This window comes from Homo sapiens, chromosome 13, assembly GCF_000001405.40.
Source record: "Homo sapiens chromosome 13, GRCh38.p14 Primary Assembly".
In the NCBI taxonomy this organism is placed as follows: Eukaryota; Metazoa; Chordata; class Mammalia; order Primates; family Hominidae; genus Homo; species Homo sapiens.
This window is the reverse complement of record NC_000013.11, coordinates 71,013,392-71,038,301: the sequence shown is the minus strand read 5'-3', so window position 1 is coordinate 71,038,301 and position 24,910 is coordinate 71,013,392. Positions and strand designations below refer to the sequence as shown.

The window sequence follows — 24,910 nt, the reverse complement described above, 5'->3', positions numbered from 1 at the left end:
TTATTTCATCACCCAGGTAATAAACATAGTACCTAATAGGTAGTTTTTTGATCCTCTCCGTCCTCTCACCCTGTACCTTCAAGTAGGTCCTTCGTTGTGTTTATGCGTTCTCAACGTTTAGCTCCCACTTACAAGTGAGAACATGTGGTATTTGGTTTTCTGTTCCTGTGTTAGGTTGTTTAGGATAATGGCCTCCAGCTCCATTCATGCCACTGCATAGGACATGATCTCATTCTTTTTTATGGCTACATAGTATTCTATAGTATATATGTACCATCTTTTCTTTTTTCACTCTACCATTGCTGGACATTTAGGTTGATTCCATGTTTTTACTATTGTGAATGTTGCTAGAATGAATGTATGCCTGCATGTGTCTTTATAGTAGAATGATTTATATTCCTTTGAATATATATCCAATAATAGGATTGCTATCACTAACCATTAGAAAAATGCAAATTAAAACTACAATGAGATGCCACCTCACCCCAAGCAGAATGACTACATTAAGAAGTCCAAAAATAACAGATGCTGGTGAGGCTGTGGAAAAACGGGAATGCTTATACACTACTGGTAGGAATGTAAATTAGCTCAGCCATTGTGGAAAGCAGTGTAGCAATTCTCAAAGAACTTAAAAGAAAGAAGGCATCCTTGACTTCTTTCAGTTCTCAAAGGGAATGCTTCCAGCTTTTTCCTATGCAGTATGATGTTACTTGTGGGTTTGTCACAGATTGCTCTCATTATTTTGAGGTATGTTTCTTCAAAGTCTAGTTTGTTAAAGGTTTTAATATGAAAGGATATTGAATTTTATCAAAATCATTTTATGCATGTATTGAAACAATCATGTGGCTTTTGTTTCAGTTCTGTTTATGAAATGGATCACATTTATTAATTTGTATATGTTGAACCAATCTTGCCTGTAAGAGATAAAGCCTACTTGATTGTGGTAGATCAGCTTTTTGAATTGCTGCTGGACTCAGTTTGTTAGTATTTTGTGGAGTACTTTTGCATGTATATTCATCAAGGTTTTTGGTCTGAAGTTTTCTTTATTCGTTGTGTCTCTGCTATGTTTTGGTATCAAGATGATGCTGGCTTCACAAATAAGTTGGGGAGCGGTCTCTGCTCCTCAATTTTTTGCAATAGTTTCATTAGAAATGGTGTCAGCTCTTTCCTATACATCTGGTAGAATTTGACTGTGAGTCCGTATCTGTTCATGGGCTTTTTCTGGTTGGTAGGCTTTTTATTATGAATTCAGTTTCAGAACTCATTATTGGTCTACTCAAGGATTCAGTTTCTTCCAGGTTCAATCTTAGGGGTTGTATGTTTCCAGGAATTTATCAATTTCTTGTAGGTTTTCTAGTTTTGAAAGGTGTTGTCTCTCTGGGTTTTTTGTATTTCTGTGGGGTTGTTGGTAATGTCCCTTTGTCATTTTTGATTATATATATTTGAATCTTCTCTCTTTTTTTTCTTTACTATTTAAGCTGGTGAGCTATCTATCTTATTTATTCTTTCAAATAATTAACTCCTGAATTCATTTATCTTTTGTATGGCTTTTTGTGTCTCAGTTTTCTTTAGCTTAGCTCTGCTTTTTGTTATTCTTGTCTTCTGCTACCTTTGGGGTTAGTTAGCTCTTGTTTCTCTAGTTCCTCTAGATGTGTTGATAGGCTGTTAATTTGAGATTTTTGTAACTTTTCAATATGAGTGTTTAGTGCTATAAACTCCTCTCTTAACTCTGCTTTAGTGTTCCTGAGATTCTGGTAAGTTGTGTCTTTGTTCTCATTAGTTCAAAATAATTTTTTGATTTTTGCCTTAATTTCATTGTTTACCCAAAAGTCATTCAGGAGAATGTTGTTTAATTTCCATGTAATTTTATAGTTTTGAGTGATTTTCTTAGTATGGATTTCTATTTTTATTTTGCCGTGGTCCAAGAGTATGTTTGGTATGATTTCAGTTGTTTTGAATTTGCTGAAGATTGTTTTATGTCCAAATATGTGATCGATTTTAGAATATCTGCCTTGTGCAAATTAGAAGAATGTATATTATGTTGTGTTGGGTGGAAAGTTCTGTAGATATCAGTTAGGTCTGTTTAGTCTAGTTGAGTTCAGGTACCAAATATCTTTGCTAGTTTTCTACCTTTATGATCTGTCTAATATTGTCAGTGGGGTGTTGTCTCTCACTATATTTATGTGTGTGTGTGTGTGTGTGTGTGTGTGTGTGTGTGTGTGGTTTTCAAAGCCTCTTCATAGGTTTCTAAGAACCTGCTTTATGAACCTGGGTGTTCTTGTGTTGGGTATACATATTTAGGATGACAATTAGATCTTCTTGTGGAATTGAATCCTTTATCATTAGGTAATACCTTTCCTTGTCTCTTTTAATCATTGTTTATTTAAAGTCTGTTTTGTCCAAAAGTAGGATAGTAATGCCTGCTTTTTGCATATTTTCTGTTTGCTTGGTAGATTTTTCTCCATCCCTTTACTTTGAACCTATGGATGTCATTGTACATGAGCTGAGTGTCTTGAATACAGCGTACAGTTGGCTCGTAGTTCTTTATCCAACTTGTCACTCTGTGCCTTTTAATTGGGGAATTCTGCCTGTTTACATTAATATTGTTATATGCAGATTTGCTCCTGTCATCGTGTTTTTAGGTGGTGACTATACAGACTTCATTGTGTGGTTGCTTTATAGCATCATGGCCTATATGACTTAAGTGTGTTTTTGTGGGGACCGGTATTGGTCTTTCACTTCCATATTTATTGCTCCCTTAAATACCTCTTATAAGGCAGGTCTGGTGGAAATAAATTCCCTTGGAATTTGTTTGTCTGAAAAGGATCTTGTTTGTCATTCACTTATAATACTTAGTTTGAATGGATATGAAATTCATGGGTGAAGTTTCTTTTCTTTTAGAATGCTGAATATAGGCTCCCAATCTCTACTGGCCTGTAGTGTTTATGCTGAAAGGTCTGCAGTTATCCTGATGGGTTTCCCTTTGTAAATGAACTACCTCTTCCCTCTAGCTGCCTTTAATATTTTTTCTTTCACGTTGACTTTGGAGAATCTGATGATTATGTATCTTGGGAATGGTCATCTTATATAATATCTTGCAGGGGCTCTTTACATCTCCTGAATTTGAATGTTGGTCACCCTAGCGAGGCTGGAGAAATTTTCATAGATGATATCTGCAAATATGTTTTCCAAGTTGCTTGTTTTCTTCCCCTGCCTTCAAGAGATGACAGTGAGTCATAGATTTGGTCTCTTTATGTAATCCCATATTTCTTGGAGGGTTTTTCTTTTCATAAATCCTTTTTTCTTTATTTTTATCTGACTGAATTAGTTCAGAAAACCAGTCTTTGAGCTCTAAGACTCTTTCCTCAGATTGGTATACTTGTTTTGAGACAGAGTCTTGCTCTGTCACCCAGGCTGGAGTGCAGTGGCACGATCTCGGCTCACTGCAAGCTCTGCCTCCCAGGTTCCTGCCATTCTCCTGCCTCAGCCTCCCAAGTAGCTGGGACTACAGGCACCCGCCACCACGCTGGCTAATTTTTCGTATTTTTCAGTAGAGACAGGGTTTCACCATGTTAGCCAGGATGGTCTCGATCTTCTGACCTCGTGATCTGCCCTCCTCAGACTCCCAAAGTGCTGGGATTACAGGCGTGAGACACCACGCCCGGCCACAAAGTATTTTTAGTTTTGAAGTTTGAGCTATAATCCAGTAGATGGTGCTTAACCATAATGGCCTGTAGGTAGGCTCTTGCTCAGCTAAATGGTTCTTCTGCATTTTGTTAGAATTGCAGCACGCTCCCTGTGAGTGCTGCAAAGGTGTGAGCTCCTCTCCTACTCCAGTCCTGGCTGCAGATCTCGGCTTGACACTCCTGGGCTGCCCACCACACCCGTGGGGTTAGCTCAGGCTTTATGTTCCCTCCCCAGCTTAGAAGCCGTAGAAGGGACCTTGGAAGTTCTGTGGCAGAGGGCCTGTCCCTTGTCTCTTGGGGCTTCACCTTGGAGAAAAGCAGAGCCACTACCAATATTTGCAATTGGCCCAAAGTGGGGCACTGGCGTTGTGGGCCCAAGCCAGGGGCCTCTGCCTGGTGGTGAGCAGGGGAGCTGGTGGGGGAGACGGACTGGCCTCTTCTTATTAGGATGTCTATGGCTTGCTGGAGGTGTGGGTAAAGCCCTCAAGGCCTTTGTTCCTTCCCCTGTACCAGAGTGGCAAGGGAAGTATCACTGCAGTGGCAATGGCAGAGGGGCTTTTGGTTGCTTCTGGAAACTCTCCCTCAGAGAAACAGTTAATGGACACAGCTAATGGCAATGTTCAGCCAAGGGATGGGGTGGTTGCATTGCTGGACTGTGCCAGGGGACCTGCTTGGTGAAGAACAGGAGGGAAAGGGTTCACAGGGAGGAGGGACTGAGCTCCTCTCTGCATGATACTGTAGTGTGCTGGAAGCAAGAGTAAATCCCTCAGACTTTTTGTATCTTCTCCAGTCTAAGGGCAGCAAAGGCAGAACCGCTGCAGTGGTGGCAGCAGAAGAGCTGTCAGTTGCCTCTAGGAGCTCCACTATAGGAAAACACAGAGCCACTACAAGGGGAATGCTCAGCTGGGGGTAGGGTGGCTGCTCTGTGATTCTTAACCAGGGGCCCTGCCTGGTGAAGAGTAGGACGTAGCTGCTCACAGGGAAGGAAGACTGGGTTTCCTCTCCACATAGTGGCTGCAGTGTGCTACAGGTGACAGTGTAGCAACCAGGTCCCATGTTCTTTCCCCAAAGGGGACTCACATGGGTGCTTTTCTGTATAGAAGCTGTACTGTGCTGGGGGCCCACATTAGTCCTGATGACTGTACTCCCTCCCAAGCCTGAGGGCAGTAGGAGTGGGGGCTGTGTAGCTGTAAAGTTGGCAGGCCTGCTTGCTACTTCTGGGAGCTCTATTCCAGGAAAATGCAGAGCTGCTACTAGCCAGAGAGCCCAAGTGGGGGGTGATTGGGGCCCCAGGTCAGTAGGTCCTGCCCAGTGAGAAGTAGCAGGGATGGGGACCTGCCTGGAAAACAGCCTGGCCACTTTCCCATAAGGCAGCTGCACTGTACTGGGATCCACACTATTACCTAATCACTGTGCTTTCTCACAAGCCTGAGGGCAACAGGGGCAAGGGCTGTGGAGGAACAAAAATGGTAGCCTGTCTGCTACCTCTGGGAGCTCCATTCCAGGGAAGGGCAGAGCTGCTCTCAAGTCTGAGAGTTCAGGTGATGCTGGGGGGGCCATGCTCAGTTCTCAGGCCAGTGGGTCTTATATAGCTAGGTGCACTGAAGGCAGGCCTGCAATCAATCTGTTGCTCATCCCTGTGGATTTGGTCCCTATCCTAAGGGTGTGAGAGGGAGCCTGACCTCCCCTGTTGTCAGGGAGTTGCAGCCACTGGTGCCCCATTGCCTGGGGATGGGGATCCAAGGTTCTTGAGACTTTGTGTGTTCCTCAGTGGTGGCTCTGCCCAGACTCTATATAGCTCTCTGTGTCAGTCTGGAGGCCCAGATTGGTGGGAAGTTACGAGTGATCTCCTGAGCCCAGGGTTGCAAAAGTTTGTGGCAGAAGTATGGGTCCCAGGGACATTCATTGACTGTTTCCCCATGGTGAGGGGCCTCCTCTGGCTCCACACCACTCCTCAGTGGGAAGTTGCCCTCTCTCCCTCTTCTCCATTATCTATAGGTCATGTTGCTTCCTTGATGAATCTCAATGTGTCTACCTGGATGTAGTAATTGAAGAGCTAGTGTTTACTCGCTATTCTTCCTGCTCTCCAGTCAGAGTGGTACACACTAGGGACTTCTAGTCAGCCATCTTGGCTGGAATCTAAGTTTTCCTAGTTTCTGTTTTCCTAGTTTCTATTATCCAGCTGTTTTCTTTTACCTTCAAGAAAGAAGATTAATTAAAATAAATAAAACTGTAGTCATTGTATAGCCACCCTAATCAGGTTATACACACACAGACAAACAAACTTATCTTTTCCCCAAACTTAGAGACTTCAGTATTTTTCCAATCACCTAGAATCAAAATCATATACCTATTCATCCCATCCTTCAAGCATATTTCTTATTGTCATCAGTCTGTTTTTAGAGCCTTATTATATCTTTTATTGTATATTGACAATTATAATGTATGCTTTTTCAAAAGCTTTTCATTTTATCCAGTCTGGTCTACACACACGCAAATCCAGACTATGTTATTCCTTGGTTTAACAAACAAACAAAAAGACAACCTATGGATTAGTTTCAACTTCAAATGACACAAAACCCAATACAATAGTGGCTAAAGCAGTTCAGATTTCTATTCCATAAATTTATCTGGGATTTAGACCACTTCCAGGTCACTGTTTTGTCATCCCTACAATTTGGCTTTTGTCTGCTTGTTCAAGATGAATAGTCCAGACCCAGGTTTCTGGCCCATATTACACCCTACAAGAATGAGGGAAGGGCAAAAAAGGGCATGGATACTTTCTTTGAGAACACTTCCTGAAATTTGCACAAACTTCTGCCTTTTTCTCATCAGGAGTAACATGGTCATATAATGGCACCCAACTGCAATGTAAGCCAGGAAATGTAGTTTTTATCCTGGGTAGCCAAATTTTGGGATCCAGTTGCTAAACAAAGAAGAGGGGGAATGGGCAAGGAAAGACAGTCATGTCTCTGCCACACAAATAAGAAAGCAATTTCCCATTGTCAAGAGAGTAAATTTCAGATTATTCAATATAATAATTGAGGCATCTAAAATAACTATCACCCTAGTGCTTCAGCCTCCTTTTCCAGTTTACAATCTCTGCTACTGCCAAACTATAACTGAACCAGTTTGCTCTGATTCAACTCTATGAGTAACAAAATGATGAATTGCTTTTCAGTTACAAAGGACCACCAGGTTGCAAGTCACACAATCTGGGCAGGCCAAGATGAACCAAGTATACTTGATTCATGACCCTGGAGCCAGCTGGAACAAAGATAATCAATCACATGTGAAAACTAAGTACTTGTGTAGGAGATCAGTCAGGGTGGTGGGAAAAGTTATAAGAAAAGTTATAGGGAAAGACACAAACCTTCATGGAAGGCCAGGAGGTTTTGCGAAGCTTCAGGAGAGAATAAAAGCTGAAGGCAGCTAAATGATCTTACCCTGAGACTAAGGGCAAAGGGTAGATAACAAAGGAAGGTAAAGGAACTTATCTAGATAAACTTGTTTACTTTCATCTATGGAAACCAACCTTTGATCATTCCCATGCAGGACTGCTCTCTACTCGGGGGGTCGACAATGTTAATTACCCACAAATTGTGTTTACTCCAGGCCTTTGTCATTTAATCTGTACTAAATAAATAAAAATGGCTCCAGCTTATCGAGGCTGCACTCTCATCTGTGGTGCTAAGCTGTGCAGTCCCCTAGCCATGCTCTCAGACAAAATACCTGTGTCTGCACACTTCTTTCAGCTGTCGCTCAGCCAGAGTCTGTGGGACAGACTTGGCAGCTGGTTCCCCGTGTGAGGAATGCTGCAACGGATTGTGACAGCACCCTCGAAAATGAAGGTGAAGAGAATGCATAGTCAGTAAGTCATTGGTGCCCGCTCGGGATTTCCAAGTTTGAGGGAATTTTCAGGCTAGCGGACAACAGTTATCAGATCAACAGAAACAGTATATTGAAGTATTGAAACAGCTGCTTAAAGCTAGTGGAATCATGGTTTTGCAGGCTCAATTAAGGGACCTAATGCAACTGTTGTTTCCCATACTCCATGGTTCATGGAAGAAGGGATGTTAGACCTGGAGCTCTGGGAACAAGTGTGAATAAATCTTAAACAACATCATGCACAAGAGCAACAGGTACCAGTAACATCTCTAATGTTCTGGGACTTAGTTAGGGCTGCTTTGGTCCTGCTCTACACAGAAGAGCCTAAGAAGGGAAGGGAGGAGGAACCATCACCTACCTTACCACCTCCTCCTTCTCCCTCAGCACTGCCATTACTGGGTAAAGACACAAAAGAGAAAATGGAGATTTCCCCTGAGCCTCCTCCTCCAATAAATTGGAAGAAAGACAAGGGATACACTACAGCTATGGGACCCTGTCTTAGGCAAGCAGCATTAGAAGGGGAGCTCTTAGCCTGCCTGGTGATGCAAGATCAACAAGGCAATCAGGTATGAACACTGTAATATGAATTACAGGTATGAATCAGTAATATGAACCCATTACTTTCAACACTTATAAAAAGATAAGGAAAAGCATTAGAGAAAATGGAGACGCTAGCCCATTTATGAAAAGATTAATTAAGGCCATGGCAGACAACTTCCATATGACCCCATGGGACTGGTCAGTGCTAGCAAAAACAACTTTAAAGGCCAGTCAATACCTCCTCTGGAGGGCAGAATTTGATGAATTATATGAATAACAAACGCTTTTAAATAATGGCCCCTATTGTTCCTCCCCTACCCCTGATGTGGCTCTCTCAAAATTCTATTTGAGTAAAACATTGGCCTTTAAAGGGAGAGAAGTTACAACAAGCCCATGAATTAGTTGAGCAATTAAAAGCTGGCCATATAGAGCCATCAAACAGCCCTTGGAATTCGCCCATTTTTGTCATTCCCAAAAAGTCTGGTAAATGGAAACTTTTGCATGACTCTCACACTATCAATGCTAATTTGCAAGCTATGGGGCCCATTCAACAGGGGCTCCCTTCCCCTGCAGTGATTCTTTGAGGTTGGCCTATAGTCATTATTGATTTAAAGGGCTGCTTTTATACTATTCCCCTTGCAGAGTAGGACAGAGAAAAATTTGTGTTTACAATACAGCTATCAATAATGAAAGTCCAGCTCACCAATTTCATCAGAAAGTACTTCCTCAAGGAATGCTGAACAGTCCTACCATGTGTCAGTATCACATTCAGGCTTTGCTCCCCAGTAGAAAAGAATTTCATAATTGCAAAATTATTCATTTTATGGTGATATTTTACTAGCAGCTCTAACGGAGCCAGTACTTTTAAATTTATATGCCTCTGTCCAAAGGAATACACTGTTAAGAGGTTTAATCATAGCACCTGAAAAAGTAAAAATGTACTCTCCTTGGAAATATCTTGGATACATACCAACTTCCCAGTCAGTAGGACCTCAAAAGATTAAATACTAGCAACTTACACACCTTAAATGATTATCAAAAATTACTGGGCAATATTAATTGGCTTTGCCCCACCTTGGGCATAACTACTGATAAGTTACAAAACCTGTTTTCTATTGTAAAGGGCAATACAGCCCTAGACTCTCCCAGGTATTTAACTCCTGCAGCAGAAAGGGAAATTTAGGAAATAGAGCAAGCTATTTCTCCGACATAACTAGATTACATAGATGCACAATAGTCAGTCCAATTTTTTGTATTTCATACTAAACATTACCCAACAGGATTAATAGGACAGATGGCCCCAGGGCTGCACTTTCTAGAATGGGTTTTTTGCTCACATACCGGGACTAAAACACTATCTCCCTATATCCAGCTAGTTAGTAGAGTCATCTATACAGGCCACAGACAATGCAATATATTGCTAGGTTATGGCCCTGATGTCATAAGAATTCCCTTGAGTAAAAAGCAATTTGAAGCCATCTTGCTCTTATCTGTAGACCTGCAGATAGCACTCTCTTATTATGCAGGCCATATAGAACATGCCCTTTCTACTGACAAACTACTTCAGTTCTTATTTCATACTCTTGTAGTTTTGCCTACAAAAGTAGTTCACTCCCCGATACCTAACACTTTAATGCTTTTCACTGATCACTCTGGTAAAAATGGAAAGGCAACTATCTGGTGGTAACTGCATAACTCCCTCACTCAATCTGGATTTACTAGCACTCAGATTGCTGAGGTTGGATCCTTAATATTGGCCCTGGAAATCTTTTCCACTCAGCCCATCAATATTGTTAGTGACTGCTTACTCTGTTTATTTATTGCAGAACCTTGAGACAGTTCTCATTAAGTCCACTCTCGATCACACACTGTGTGCACTTTTTCTTCAACTTCAGCAATTGTTGGATCAATGTACACATCCTATTTTTATCACACATATTTGAGCTCACAGCTCACTACCTGGCCCACTGATTTATGGCAATGATCAAGCAGAGCTGCAGGTTATGACGTCCCTCCCTGACCAAGCCACCCAATCACATCAATTTCTCCAAAATTGCAGAAACTTATCTAAACATTTTCTACTCAGCCAAAAACTACCTAAACAAATTATTTTACAGTGCTGAGATTGCCAGCTCACAGGCACGTCCCCTCCTTCAACAGGTGTTAACCTTAGAGGACTAGAACCTAATAAGTTATAGCAAAGAGATGTTACACATGTCCTTGAATTTGGAAAACTAAGATATGTATGTGGATCCATTGATACCAATTCCCACTTAATTAGCACTCATGTTCTTCCTGGAGAGTCTTCCCAATATGTCATTAAAAGTCTTCTCTTAACTTTTGCGTTTATGGGGCGGCCCATAAAAATTAAAACTGATAATGGTCCAGCTTATATTAGCTCACAATTTTAACAATTTTGCGACACGTGGAACATCCAACATTCCACAGGCATCCCTTATAACCCCCCCAAGGACAGGCCATAGTAGAACATGTCCACTCCACCCTTAAAAATATGCTCAAAAAACAAAAAAGGGGGAATATGAGTAGGGACCCTGCAACACTATTGGTACAAGCAATATTTACCCTTAATTTTTAAATCTAGATGAAAAATTTCAATCAGCTATAGAGAAGCACTTTTCAAAAATATTCAAGATATACAACCTTCAGTTTTATGGAAATATGTAAATAGTAATCTATGGTGTGGTCCAAATGATTTGCTAACATGGGGAAGAGGATATGCTTTTGTTCACACCCCCTCACATCCTCTTTGGATTCCAGCACTATGCATCAAACCATACCATGGCATGGCTAGGACCCAACCTGGTAACAGAAATAAAGGAAATGACCCTGCGGGACCCATAGCCCTGGATAATGTGGCTTCCTTGGAAGACACAGGCCCCAGATACTACGCTAAAGAAGACTGCTCAAAAGACTGAGTGAACCCTTTTCCAGACACAGACACCATTCACTTCAGATAATTTGTTTCTTGCTATGCTCTCTGTTGTACATTGCAACTCTCATAGGGTATTAACCTTTCTTATTCTCTCACTCTGCCTACAACCCACACCTGCTACTGTCTATTAGGCCCATCTTCTAGATCCGCCTTTCTTCCACCCTGTTACTTGGGCAGACCTCTCACACCCCCTCCTCAGCCTCTAACAATGCAACTGCTTGGCTAGGAGGGATTGACTTATGCCCAGTAGGGTCCCTCATTAATGGCACACATTGGATTAAGGTGTCAAGTAACACTACTTGTCACTCCTTGATTGGAAAAGAATATTATTGTTTATACTCATGTTTGTCTCATGTTATTTACTAATTCCAGGCTGCAAAGCTGGAATAGTAGCAGTAACCACTACAGCAGACAAACCTGTTGCTGCACACATCTGTACTCTTCAATCAACAAAACCTGATGCAAAAAACAGGAAAGGGGGAGATGTAGGAGATCACTTAGGGTGGTGGGAAAAGTTATAAGAAAAGTTAAAGGGAAAGATGCAAACCTTCATGGAAGGCCAGGAGGTTTTGCAAAGCTTTGGGAGAGAATAAAAGCTGAAGGCAGCTAAATTATCTTACCCTGAGACTAAGGGCAAAGGGTAGATAGCAAGGGACTGTAAAGGAATTTATCTAGATGTATTTGTTTAATTTGTCTATGGAAACTAACCTTTGATCATTCACCTGCAGGACTGCTCTCTACTCGGGGGGTCGACAGTGTTAATTACCCACAAACTCTGTTTACTCTAGGCCTTTGTCATTTAATCTGTACTAAATAAATACAAATGGTTCCAGCTTGTCGGGGCTGCACTCTCGTCGCGATGCTAAGTCGTGCAGTCCCCTAGCCACGCTCTCAGGCAAAATACCTGTGTCTGTGTACTTCTTTCTTCTGTCGCTAAGCCAGAGTCTGTGGGACAGACTCGGCATACTCTGATGGAGGATCTGAGACTAAATTAAGAATCAAGGGGTGCTCTGTTTTTTGCAATATGAACTTAAAAGCCAAGAACCTGGCATTGCTTCTTTGCATGACCCAGTCAGATCACACATCGTTGCATTTTCCTGTCTCCCTCAAAGTTATTCTCTGCCTTGGAATCCTGCCACCAAACCTCAGCTTGAGGAGACAGATTTGAATATTACCTGCTCTCTGCCTTGGAAACCTGCCACCAAACCTCAGCTTAAGGAGACAGATTTGAATGTTATTTCCTATCTTCTTGCTGGTCAATCTTGCAAGAAAACTTCTTTTCTCAAAAGCTGGTGCCACAGCTAAAGAAATAGCCAACAGTGGCTGGGTGCGGTGGCTCATGCCTGTTATCCCAGCACTTTGGGAGGCTGAGGTGGGCAGATCACAAGGTCAGGGGATCGAGACCATCCTGGCTAACACGGTGAAACCCCGTCTCTACTAAAAAGACAAAAAATTAGCCAAGCATGGTGGCGGGTTCCTGTAGTCCCAGCTACTCAGGAAGCTGAGGCAGCAGAATGGCATGAACCCAGGAGGCGGAGCTTGCAGTGAACTGAGATTGCGCCACTGCACTCCAGCCTGAGCGACAGAGCGAGACTCCATCTCAAAAAAAAAAGAAAGAAAAAAAAAAACAGGAAATAGCCAACAGTGTGAAAAGACAACCTGCATATCTGGAGAAAATATTTGCAAACTACATATCTAACAAAGGCCTAATATTCATAATCTATAAGGAACTCAAACAATTCAACAATCAAAAAACAGCCCAAATACAAAGTGGACAAATATATGAACAGGCATTTTTCAAAAGAAGACTTAAAAACGGCAAAAAAACATGAAACCACAATGAGATCGCATCTTATACCAGTCAGAATGGGTATTATTAAAAAGTCTAAAACCAACAGGGTGAGGATGTGGAATAAAGGGAACCCTTATACTTTGTTGTTGAGAACATAAATTAGTACAACCTCTATTGATAAATAGTATCAAGATTTCTTAGAGAACTAGAAATAGAACTACCCTTCAATCTAGGAATATTAATACTCATATCTACCCAAAGGAAAAGAAATAGTCATATCAAAAAGATACCTGCACTTGTATGTTTATCACAGCACCACTCACAATAGGAAAGTCATGTAATCAACCTAAGTGTCCATCAACAGATATTTAGATAAAGAAAATGCTCTCTCTCTCTATATATATATATGTGTGTATATATGCATATACTGTCTATATATAGAGAGATATATACATATATCTCTCTATATATGTGTATATATGTGTGTGTATATATGTGTGTGTGTATATATATGTGTGTATATATCTCTCTCTCTATATATAGATGTATATATGGCAGCAACAGGGATGAAACTGGAGGTCATTGTCTTAAGTGAAATAATTCAGAAGCAGAAAGTCCAATACTGCATGTTCTCACAAGTCCATGTACACATGGGCATACAGAATGTAATAATAAACACTGAAGATTCAGAAAGGTGAAAGGGTGGGAGGAGAATGAGGGGTGAGATATTAATCACCTAATGTGTATAGTGTACACTATTCAAATGATGGTTACACTAAAATTCCAGACTTCACCATTACACATTATATCAATGTAACAAAATTACATTTCTACCCCCAAATCGATAAAAAACCCCACTAGATTAGAAATAGATAATTATAGCAAAGAAGAACAAATAGAAATTGAGTTACCTTAATTCTATTATTGTATGTGATCAGTTGGAGTTTTTATCTACTTAGAATGATAAAACATAATGCAAGCTGCAAAAAGAAAAAAAAACAGCTGGTACCATAGTATTGGCCTTTTATGCATGTCAGGCAGCAAGCCTATTGCTTGGTAAAAAGAACCTTCTTCAAATGTGCCATTATTGTTGTAGTTTCTTCTTTGTAGCCTTCCATTCTCATTATTTATTATTTTTCAGTAACTATACCATTCATATTTTGAGGCTGAGCTTGGATTTTAACCATCACCTCATTTATCTTCCTATTATTTCCAGGTAGAAAGAGTGTTTTTTGACTCTGTGTTCTTATAACTTTTTGTGTTCTCCTATTGTCCTGTCATCGGCAGGAAATTTTACACTCTCTTTTTCTGTCTACTCAAATATAAACATTAAGACTTGCTTAGTCAATGTTTTCATGCCCCAGTAGTCTTTTCTGAAAGCATTATTTACATTAAACAATTAATTAAATATGTAAACTTTCTGCTAAAAAAGTCCTTTGTCAAGGTTTGGCTACTGTGAATAGATGTTGAATACTCCGGAATAAATGCTTAAATTTACTTATCATTCTTTCAGTTAACCAACTTAGTATCTCTTTCTCCTTTGCACTTCTCTTTGACAGCATACCAAAAAAGCCTATAGAATGTCTTCATCACAGTTTTATTTTTGCTCTCTCTCAGCAGCTCTGAAGAAAACCACATAGCCTATAACACCCTTTCATGCTTTACCAAAAAAAGTCATACTTTTCTACAAATTTGAACTCTAAACTCAATTTCTGACTTCAAGGTATGCACAGCTGAATAAATGTAATGATGACAGTTTTCGCTGGATTAGGAAATGTCATATATTTGTTTAGGCTTCCATAACAAAATATCATAGACCAGGTGGCTTAACCAACAAAGGTTTTTTTTTCTCACAGTTCTGGAAGCTGGAGAGTCCGCGATCAAGGTGCTGGCATATTCAGTATCTGGGCAGGGCCCTCTTCCTAGGTTTAGACAGCAGACTTCTTTCTGTATCCTCACATAGTGAAGAAAGAGAGCTTTCGTGTATCTGTCTGTATTTTAAGGGCATTAATTTCATCACGATAATCCCACTCTCATGATTGAAATCAACTTTACTTACTTCTCAAAGGCCTCAACTCCAAATGCCATGACATTGGAGATTAGGTTTTCAACATATAAATTTGGTGTGGAAACAAACATTTAGTCGATAGCAGGAACATATAAGTTAGAACTGAAGGCTGTCTCATTTCACATTTCAAATCGAGAGTTGATAGTCATTTGCTTAAGGCATGAAGTTTAGGGGCACAAGGATAAATAGATTAGAGGAGATAAAGTAGGGGATGGATTTTTATTGTTCTCAGGTAAATATTGTTATTTATAACTTACAGTATGTCTTAATTTTCTGATTCATAGTGTGTGATAATATGTGTCCAAAGAAAATTGTTTTTAGACAGAGACCTAAATTTTTATAAAGACTTCTGCTTTTATTAATAGTTTAAAATTTTATAAAATGTTTTATAGATATGTGAATTGTCAATTTAAGTTTATACTTTTTCTAGATTAGGTTTTTAAAACTTGTTTTGATTATTGTATCCTAAGGAGACTTAATTCTTTTTTTTAATCATCCTCACCTTTATGAATTTTTTTTTTTTTTTTTTTTGAGACAGAGTCTTGCTCTGTTGCCCAGGCTGGAGTGCAGTGGCATGATCTCAGTTCACTGCAAGCTCTGCCTCCTGGGTTCACACCATTCTCCTGCCTCAGCCTCCCGAGTACCTGGGACTACAGTTGCCCGCCACCACGCCCGGCTAATTTTTTGTCTTTTTAGTAGAGATGGGGTTTCACCGTGTTAGCCAGGATGGTGTGGATCTCCTGACCTCGTGATCCGCCTGCCTCGGCCTCCCAAAGTGCTGGGATTACATGAGCCACCACGCCCGGCCCACCTTTATGAATTTTAATGCACCAGTAATGCTGTATAACCATGTATGCACTAAAGCCATTTGGAGGGCCACAAACCATTATAATATTGATATAGGTGTTAAGAAGCAATTACTTAGGCAGATAGGGAGGGTACTGGAGTCCTCAGTAAAGGTTTTCTTTTTAACGAAAAGCAGGACCAAAATCATTTTCTGACAAAGAGAAGCCTGTAAAATTGAGCTTCATGTATAGATGCTGGCAGTTGTGACAATCATGTTCAAAATGGCAGCTTCATCTTCCCTTCTCTCTTTGCCAGCCACTGGTACAGCAGTGAGCAGACAAGGTGGCACCAGTTAAGTGGAAAGCTTATTTGCATAATGAGATTAGGGTGGGGTGGCCAGCCTTCCCTGTACCCTAGGTAAATTTCACACCTGATGGAACCAATCTCTGGGCCCTACATAAATCAGACACCGCCTCCACAAGCCTGCCTATAAAATCGGGTGCATCCAGCACCAGCTGGTCTTTCCTTTTGGAAGCCCCTCTCTCTCACTAGAGAGAGAGCTGTTCCGCTTTCTCTTTCACTTGCCTTTTAAACCTCGGCTCCTAAACTCCTCATGTGTGTCCACGTCGTAAATTTTCTTAGCACAAGATGACGAACCCCACGTATTTACACCAGACAACTAAGCCACGTCAATATCTGGAATTTTTTTTTTCTCCTGCAATAACCACTTTCTCCTTCTCAGGGGCAATATTGCCCCAGTTACAAATTGATGTTCTCAAGTGAAAAAATTAAATAAAATGGCTCATATGTGTAACATTCTTTAAATCTAAACATCTTGACCTAGCACTGTGAGCCTTTCAAGCTCTTTCTTCAATTTATTGTCCAACCTTACTGAAGTGTTTTAAAAACTGTTTTCCATAGACAATGTATTAGGTGACATTGAGTTTGTGATTTTAAAGCTGGAGGGAACCAAGCTGGTATAAATTTGAAGGCATTCTCTGGGTGTCCTGTTACATGCAACTCTTATCTTTGCTGAATCTACTTCACTCAGAGTGGCCTTCCCGCTCCTCTCTGGTCTCTACTGGACATTTTCTTTTTACTCTAGAGAAGTATCTCTCATCTTTCCTTTTTCAGGTTATTATCTTGGAGTAGAAAATGGGTTAGTTATCCTGTGGAATGTCCCACATTCTGGATTTGTAAGTATGCTATTTTGTGGTTTATTTACCCTCTCTTGTCTTCCATATTTCATAAAATGAAAAGCCTTATTCTAGAGGTTTGGTGTTGATTCATATTTGACTTTTTCATTTTTTTTAAAGAAAGAACACTCTGAAGTATTATTATGTGATTCATGTTGGTTTGTTGCAGAAAGCACACAATATCCGATTATACTACTTCCAAGTATGATTAATCGGAGGGTTCTTGTAGCAAGAAACTGATACCCTTTGTATTAGAGTTTCTTAGAGAACTACACACACACACACACACACACACACATTATATATGAAGAGAGAAAAAATATATATCTTGAAAGAAAAGGAGAAAGAAAAAAGTAAGGAATTGGTTCACATGATTATGAAGGTTGACAAGGCCCAAGATCTATAGTCAGCAAGCTGAGGTCCCAAAAGAGGCAAATGGTATGCCTGCAGTCTGAGTCTGAAGACCCGAGAACCAGGAGAGCTGATGGGATAAATGCTGGCAGGCTCACAACCCAGGAGGACTCAATGATTCAGTTCAAGTGCAAAGGAAGAAAAAAAGCATGTTCTAGCTGGAGGGCACTCAGGAAAGAGGCATTCCTATTTTTCAAAGGAGGGTCAGCCTTTTTATTCTATTCAGGCTTTCAACTGATTAGGTCCACTCATATTAGGGAGGACAATTTTCTTTATTCAGTAAAATGTTAATCACATCCAAAAACACCCTTAGAGTGCACCCAGAAAAAGGCCTAGCCAAGTTGACACATAAAATTAGCAGTGGCATTTTTATTGTAAAATTATGTATAAACCTTGCATTTGTTGATTATAACTGTTGATGCTTATTGGCTGAATTAATCATTCATTCAAAGTTGCAAAATTGTGACTTCTAGTTTCAGCACCCCTTTTCTAAAGAAGGGATCTTTTCTTCATCAATTAGAGCTATTAGGTTACTCTGAAACACAATTCAGAAAAATCACTCGAATATTTAATTCTTTTCCTTTATTTGCCATGTCTTAACACAGGTGTTAGTTCCCAAGTTACGTTCAATGATGTCAATGAATTGTATTTGTTTTTTTTGCTTTTTCTATCTACTTTTAAGAATAATTATAAACTTCTGGGTTTTATTAGTGAATGCGTTTCAACCAATTGTATTCATCACTGCTTTTGATGCTCAAATTGTCCCTCTTTGGCTAAAAGGAGCCCCTTTAAATTGAATTCTGTGGGGTTTTTTTGTTGTTGTTCGTTTGTTTTTGCATAATCAGCTGGTATTTGGAAATTTTTCATGCTTTTTAGAGAAAAAATATTTACAGGTCTTATATATTTTCTCCCTCAGTCCTGAAATCAACCACTTGTCAAGGAGTTCTGGTTCCTTAATATTTAGGGTCAATAATCTGGATGTTGATTGTGTTTGTTACTACTAGGTAGTCATTGCTTTTAAGACCTTTTAGCAGCAGACACAATTAAAGATACACATCTATTTTAAAAGAAACAAATAGGTTCATATTGATATTTGCAATTCAAATCCAATAGAACAATATTCTAAGTATATAGAAGAGCCAACACATGTAATTTGTCATTCTTGCCTGGAAAGAGAAATCCATAATAATAGCATAGTTTTGGTTTTCTTTCCAACTCCTTATTTCAGTCTTCTTTGCATGTTTTTGGTTCTTTACTCAGGCTATAAATGTTATAGCATTTTAAATATCATTATGGTCCAATGAATTCCACATTTCTATTTCCAGCACAGACATCTCTTTTGAAATAAATACTTATGAGCTGAATCATTCATTCCTCTGTTCATTTCTTTGCTATTTATTAAAATCCAACTTTGTGCCAGGCATTGTTCTAGATCTTTGGAATACATCAGGGATCAAAGCTAAATGTAGTATTCTCTTGCTTTATTTTTTTTAACCATCTTTTCTATACATTTTAATTTTCTTGGTTTCTCTGATGTCTGGATAATTTTCTGAGATACTGTTACCATTATTACTATGAAATAATTTTTGAAACACCTAATCAGGATTTTTTTCATGACTATGTTGTGTGTTGACTCTCAGTAATAGGTGTTTATTTTCTCAAGTGTTTCATAATTTGGATTTTGCACTCATCTTTAGTACTGACTGCATAGAAGGATGTCATTCCAGATCAGTTTTACATAATCTATGGAACTTATGCACCCTAAATGAGTCACAGAGCTGCCACTAGTGTTTTCTGGCAAGGAAGCTGCCAAGTTTCAAATTCTAAGTGATGAGTTTCCTCTAAAAGACAAGATTGAGTTTTCAAATTCTCCAAAAAAAGCTTTAAAAATAATACAGATCTTAGAGAGAAAGATAAGCTCTGTGGTTATGTCCTTATTATATTGGGAAGATTATTTATCTCATTCATTTTTTATTCTTTCCCGAAGGCACAAATGTTTGTGTGCCCAGGTCACTACTCCCACAACCTCTTGGTCATTCAAACAAAAATTTCAGAGTACTTCAACAGAGCCTCTCTCCCCATCATTTTGCAGCTTCAGTGTCAACTAAATGTTTAATACTGTCTTTTTCTTGTATTTTTATTCTGATTATTAAACATTTAAGCCATATAGGAAGTATAGAAGAAAAGAAAGTAAATCCCCCAAATACCACATATGCAAATTAAACAGAAAATATCAGGGAAGTGAGAGTTTTCTGTGAAACTCCACTCAATTCTATTAACCTTCTACTGTTCAGACATAACCTTGATTACAAAATTATCACTTATAAATTCCATGGAGATTGTATACTTTCACAAAACACTTATATGCCCCAAAATATATTATCTTTCTATAATAGTAACATATAATGTATATCATTCTGAAACTTTAATTTATAAAAAATATGAGATTAAATCAATATATAGTCAGCCGGCCGCAGTCACGCCTGTAATTCCAGCACTTTGGGAGGCCGAGTCGGGCAGTTCATGAGGTCAGGAGTTTGAGACCAGCCTGACCAACATGGTGAAACCCCATCTCTACTAAAAATACAAAAATTATCTGGGCTTGGTGGCATGCATCTGTAATCCCAGCTACTCAGGAGGCTGAGGCAGAATAGCTTGAACCTGGGAGGTGGATGTTGCAGTAAGCGGAGATCACACCATTGCACTCCAGACTGGGTGACAGAGTGAGACTCCTTCTCAAAAAAAACAAAGTCAGTATATAGCCATTTATTTTTATATGCCATATTACATTTCATTGTATAAGCACACTACAGTTTATCAATCAATTTTCTTGTATATAGACATTTAGGATGTTACCACAATTTGATATTTAATGCCGTGATCCAGGGTACAATCTTATATATAAGTCTCCTTGTATACTGGGTTTCTCTAGTATTTATAACTAGTAATTACTGAGTCCTAGAGTACATACATTTTAAACTTTACTAGCTGTATTAGTCCATTCTCACACTGCTATAAAGATACTACCACAAACTGGGTAATTTTTGCAAAGGAAAGAGGTTTAGTTGACTCACAGCTCTGCATGGCTGGGGAGGCCTCAGGAAACTTACAATTATGGTAAAAGGCAGAGAAGCATGCACCTTCTTCACCAGGTGGCAGGAGAGAGAGAGTGAGCAGGAGAAACTGCTACTTTTAAACCATCGGATCTCATGAGAACTCCCTCACTATCAGGAGAACAGTATGGGAGAACCACCTTCACAATCCAATCACCTCCCACCAGGTCTCTCCCTCAACATGTGGAGATGACAATTTGAGATGAGATTTGAGTGAGGACAAAGAGCCAAACCTTATAACTAGCTATTTCTACATTACTCCCCAAGGTTGTTTTTAAAACCAGCTTACACCTACAAACCAACAATGCATACAATTTTCTATCTATTTACATATTTATCAACATAGTATTGTCAGACTTAAAATTTTACCAATCTGATTAATTTAAAATACTACTTTTTGTGGTTTCAATTTGTATTTTCCTAATTGCTGTAAGGCTTATCACTTTGCAATGCTTGTTTGTTTATGTAGTTGTCTATTTTGAATATCATCTCCTTTTCATTGCTAATTCATCTCCTTTTCATTGCTAATTCATGTGCTTTACTCACTTTTTCCATTAGAATGTTTATATTATTTAGATTACCAATATCTTCATAAATTCTTCATAAATTGATAAAGTAATTTTTATGCATTTTAAATATTTGTCCCTGAATTTTTTTTACTCAATTTTTGTCTGATTTTATTACTAACAGGTTTTTAATTTCAAAACAGTCAGATTTATCATATTTTTTATGGTTTGTACTTATATCATGTTTAAGAATTTCTGCTTATCCTGAGGGCATCAAGATATTCTCCTGTTCTTTGCACAAAAGTTTTAAAGATTAACATCACACTTAGGTCTTCTAATTCATATGAATTTATTTTTGCCCATGGGTTGAAACAAGATTCCAAATTTATTTAGTTCACGTAGATAACTATTATTGACTAGCTCATTATTTTCTCACTGATCTGTAATACTAAGTCTTTTATTTACCAAGTTTCCATGTGGACAAACAGATCAAAGATTCAAATCAGACTCACACAGACATAGATTCACAGACTCACACAGAAATATAGTTGACCCTGCATCAAGCTTTACAAATAATGTTAAGGGCATCAACAATTGGGAAGCCCAGGTAACATAAGCTACTGATACACAGGAGGTACTCTGGCCCTGATCATTATATGAGATCTCTCAGAAGAGTTGCAGTCACATCACTGACAAACATGACAGCTGTATTAGGTATGAAACACCTTCAGTTAATATATTAATGGTTGTAGTTCCTAGGGATCTATGGCCTCCAAAGTCACGGATTCCAAATTGGCTGTTCATAAGGCAACATAGAACAGAAAGTAGCATTTCCTTTTCCATGTGCTAATATTAATAATGTTGCATTAGAATGTTTCTGAGAAAATTGGATCAGATCATCTTCCTTCTTTCTTTTATGGAACCATCTCCCTCATTAGTTTAACAATGCATCTCAGTCCAGCTGTTAACCATTTCTTCCTACCATGAATAAGGAGGTGTGGTTCTGGGGTCCCTATTACATTCTACCAATCAATTTGTCAATTTCTACATCAAAATCACACTGAATTAATAGAGACACAAGAAAGTGCAGCACAGTAGTTAGGAGTGAGAGCTAGACTGACTATATTTATTCCTGGTTCTGCTATTTAATGCATAACCTTGGGCATCACTTTTCCACTGATTTTTTCATATCTTTGGGTTACTTTCAATACAAATCCATTAATGCATACAATTTCTTAAAACAGTACATTGGACTTACTAAGCCCTCAATAATATAAGCTATTGCTACTGAGGACTAAGCTCTGATTTTTTATCTCACCCTAATTCCTATGTAAGGGGTGTAAGGGAATCATGCCCTACAAACCATAAATTTTCATCAGATGGGTTTTATTTGACCCTATATATGGTGACTAACTCTCCAATTTGATTCTGGCATAACAAGGTAGAAAATCAAAATGTTTTACACCAAAATATATTTCCTTGCCGTACCTTGAAATTGCCCTGCAGAGTCTCTTTTGGGAAAAACTCACATTCTATAGGGAATCCTCTTTCCCCTTTGTTTTCCTTCCTTCCCAGATCCAGGAGATAATCAGCTAAGAGCCAGGCACCCTTTTAGGACTGATAAGAAGTATTTTACAACCTGCTCTCTCTCTGAAGTCTGCTATCTGAGAGATTCCTCCGCACAATAAAACTTGGTCTCCACAATCCTTTACCTTAACCTGAACATTCCTTTCCATTGATCCCAGGTCTTCAGATAAACTCAGCAAATTGTCAACCAGAAAATCTTTAAATTTACCTATAGCCTGGAAGTCCTGCTTTTAGTTGTCCTGACCTTCTGAACCAAACCAATGTATTTCTTAAATGTATTTGACTGATGTCTGATGCCTCCCTAAAATATATAAAACCAAGCTGTACCCCAACTACCTTGGGCACATGTTCTCAGGACCTCCTGAGGGCTGTGTCACCAGCCATGGTCACTCCTATTTTGCTTAGAATAAATCTCTTTAAGTATTTTACAGAGTTTGACTCTTTTCATCAACATTTCTGTCAGAGGCGTGTAAACCAGAGCAACTGCATCTCGAACAGGAACTGGGTAAAATGAGGCTGAAACCTACCGGGCTGCATTCCAGACAGTTGTTAAGGCATTCTAAGTCACAGGATGAGATAGGAGGTCAGCACAAAATACAGGTTATAAAGACTTTGCTGATAAAACAGGTTGCGGTAAAGAAGCCAGACAAAAACCACCAAAAACAAAATGGCGACGAGAGTGACCTCTCGTCGTCCTCACTGCTACACTCTTCCCACCCCACCCCCCGCCCCATGACAGTTTACAAATGCCATGGCAACGTCAGTAAGTTACCCTATATTGCATAAAAAGGGGACTCATGAATAACCCACCCCTTAAAATCGGCAACCAGCAGCCCTCAGGGCTGCTCTATGGCGTAGCCATTCCTTTATTCCTTTACTTTGTTAATAAACTTGCTTTCACTTTGCACTGTGAACTTCCCCTGAATTTTTTCTTGTATGAGATCCAAGAACCTCCTGTAACACTACTATTATGTAGTTTCATAAAAAGACTTCATATCTGGTAGCATGATTTCCTAACATCCTCCCTTTTTATGTCCTTTCTTATTATTCTTCAAAATTATATGGGCCGTGTTTAGTCTATAGATCTTCTGTATATATTATAGAATCAACTTCTCAGGAATTTCAGCTCAATTGTAATGAATTGATATCTTCTATGATACATCTTTATTTCATCATAGAATCTTTCTCAATTCATTAAGGTCTTTCATGACTTTTGATAATTTTTTAAATAATATTCTTCATAAAGGACTTATGTATATTCTTTGGATTATTTTTCTGAGTACCATGTATTATTTGCTGCTATGACTAAATATTCATTTTATTTAGAAAAATATATTTTAAGATTTATTTTTGGTGCAAAGTAATTAAATGTATTTTTGCATATTGTTATATTCACCAATTGTGTTGAATTCTCATTAGTTTCCTAATTTTCTGTTTTCTTTGATATTTTTGATAAAAACTACCATTATTTATGAACTACTATAGTTTTCTTTCATTCTTTCCGATTATTTTACATTTTATATATTTCCTTTGTTTTCCTGAGTTTTCTGGGACTTACAGTACATGATTTAATAAATTTTTCTTCTTTTACTGTTACCTATATAGTCTGAATTTGTTGTTGGTTAATTTCTTCTGCCAGGTTAAGAAGACTCTTTTTACTCATAGCTTTAATGAGCTATTAAATATGTTTTAAATGATTTCAAATATATTTTCTTTATATTCTGGATATGATTATATATATTTAAATTGTTAATGTAATAAATTTTGTTAATAGATTTTTGAATTATATACTATGTTGTATTTATGGATAAACCAAAATTAGTTGTGCCATATTATTTCATATAAAATACATACTGGATTCTATTTGCTAATACTTACATAGGATTTTTGTATCTATGTTTATAAATTCATGCCTTAAATTTATTTTTTACATAGTGTCATTCACTGATTTTGTATCAAGAGTATACTAGTTTTCTAAAACAAATTGAGGAGCAATTCACATGCCTGTTATAAGAAAAAAGTTATGGCTGGGTGTGGTGGCTTACACCTGTAATCTCAGTAATTTGGAAGGCCGAGGTGGGTGGATCACCTGAGGTCATGAGTTCGAGACCAGCCTGGCCAATATGGTGAAACTCCGTCTCTACTAAAAATACAAAAATTAGCCAGGCATGGTGGCACGCCCCTGTAATCTCAGCTACTCTGGAGGCTGAGACAGGAGAATCTCTTGAAGCCCGGAGATGGAGGTTGCAGTGAGCTGAGATTATGCCATTGCACTCCAGCCTGGGCAGCAAGAGCGAAACTCCATCTCAAAAAAAAAAATTACTTAAATTTAGTATTATCAACATCTTGAAAGTTTGGGAGAGTGTGTAATCATTGTGCCTATT

The 24,910-nt window shown here is 38.7% G+C and overlaps 1 long non-coding RNA gene across 1 annotated transcript in view, besides 2 other annotated features; it reads right to left on the bottom strand.

The window, feature by feature from the left end:
• The window catches only part of LINC00348 (long intergenic non-protein coding RNA 348), a 153,277-nt gene extending 130,116 nt beyond the window's left edge, over positions 1-23,161 (bottom strand). Inside the window, exon 1 of the long non-coding RNA NR_047699.1 lies at positions 23,054-23,161. This is a non-coding gene — a long non-coding RNA (long intergenic non-protein coding RNA 348). The remainder of the gene's footprint in view (positions 1-23,053) is intronic.
• Positions 6,950-7,550: an enhancer, noted in NCBI's record as "NANOG hESC enhancer chr13:71604884-71605484 (GRCh37/hg19 assembly coordinates)". NCBI's record gives its function as "activates a minimal SCP1, AML or CMV promoter by ChIP-STARR-seq in naive and primed H9 embryonic stem cells {active_cell/tissue: H9 hESC(naive and primed)}" and the evidence as "EXISTENCE:reporter gene assay evidence [ECO:0000049][PMID:30033119]".
• Positions 16,176-16,415: an enhancer, noted in NCBI's record as "active region_7809". NCBI's record gives its function as "activates an Ori minimal core promoter by ATAC-STARR-seq in GM12878 lymphoblastoid cells {active_cell/tissue: GM12878}" and the evidence as "EXISTENCE:reporter gene assay evidence [ECO:0000049][PMID:35858748]".
• Positions 23,162-24,910: the final 1,749 nt, after the last annotated feature.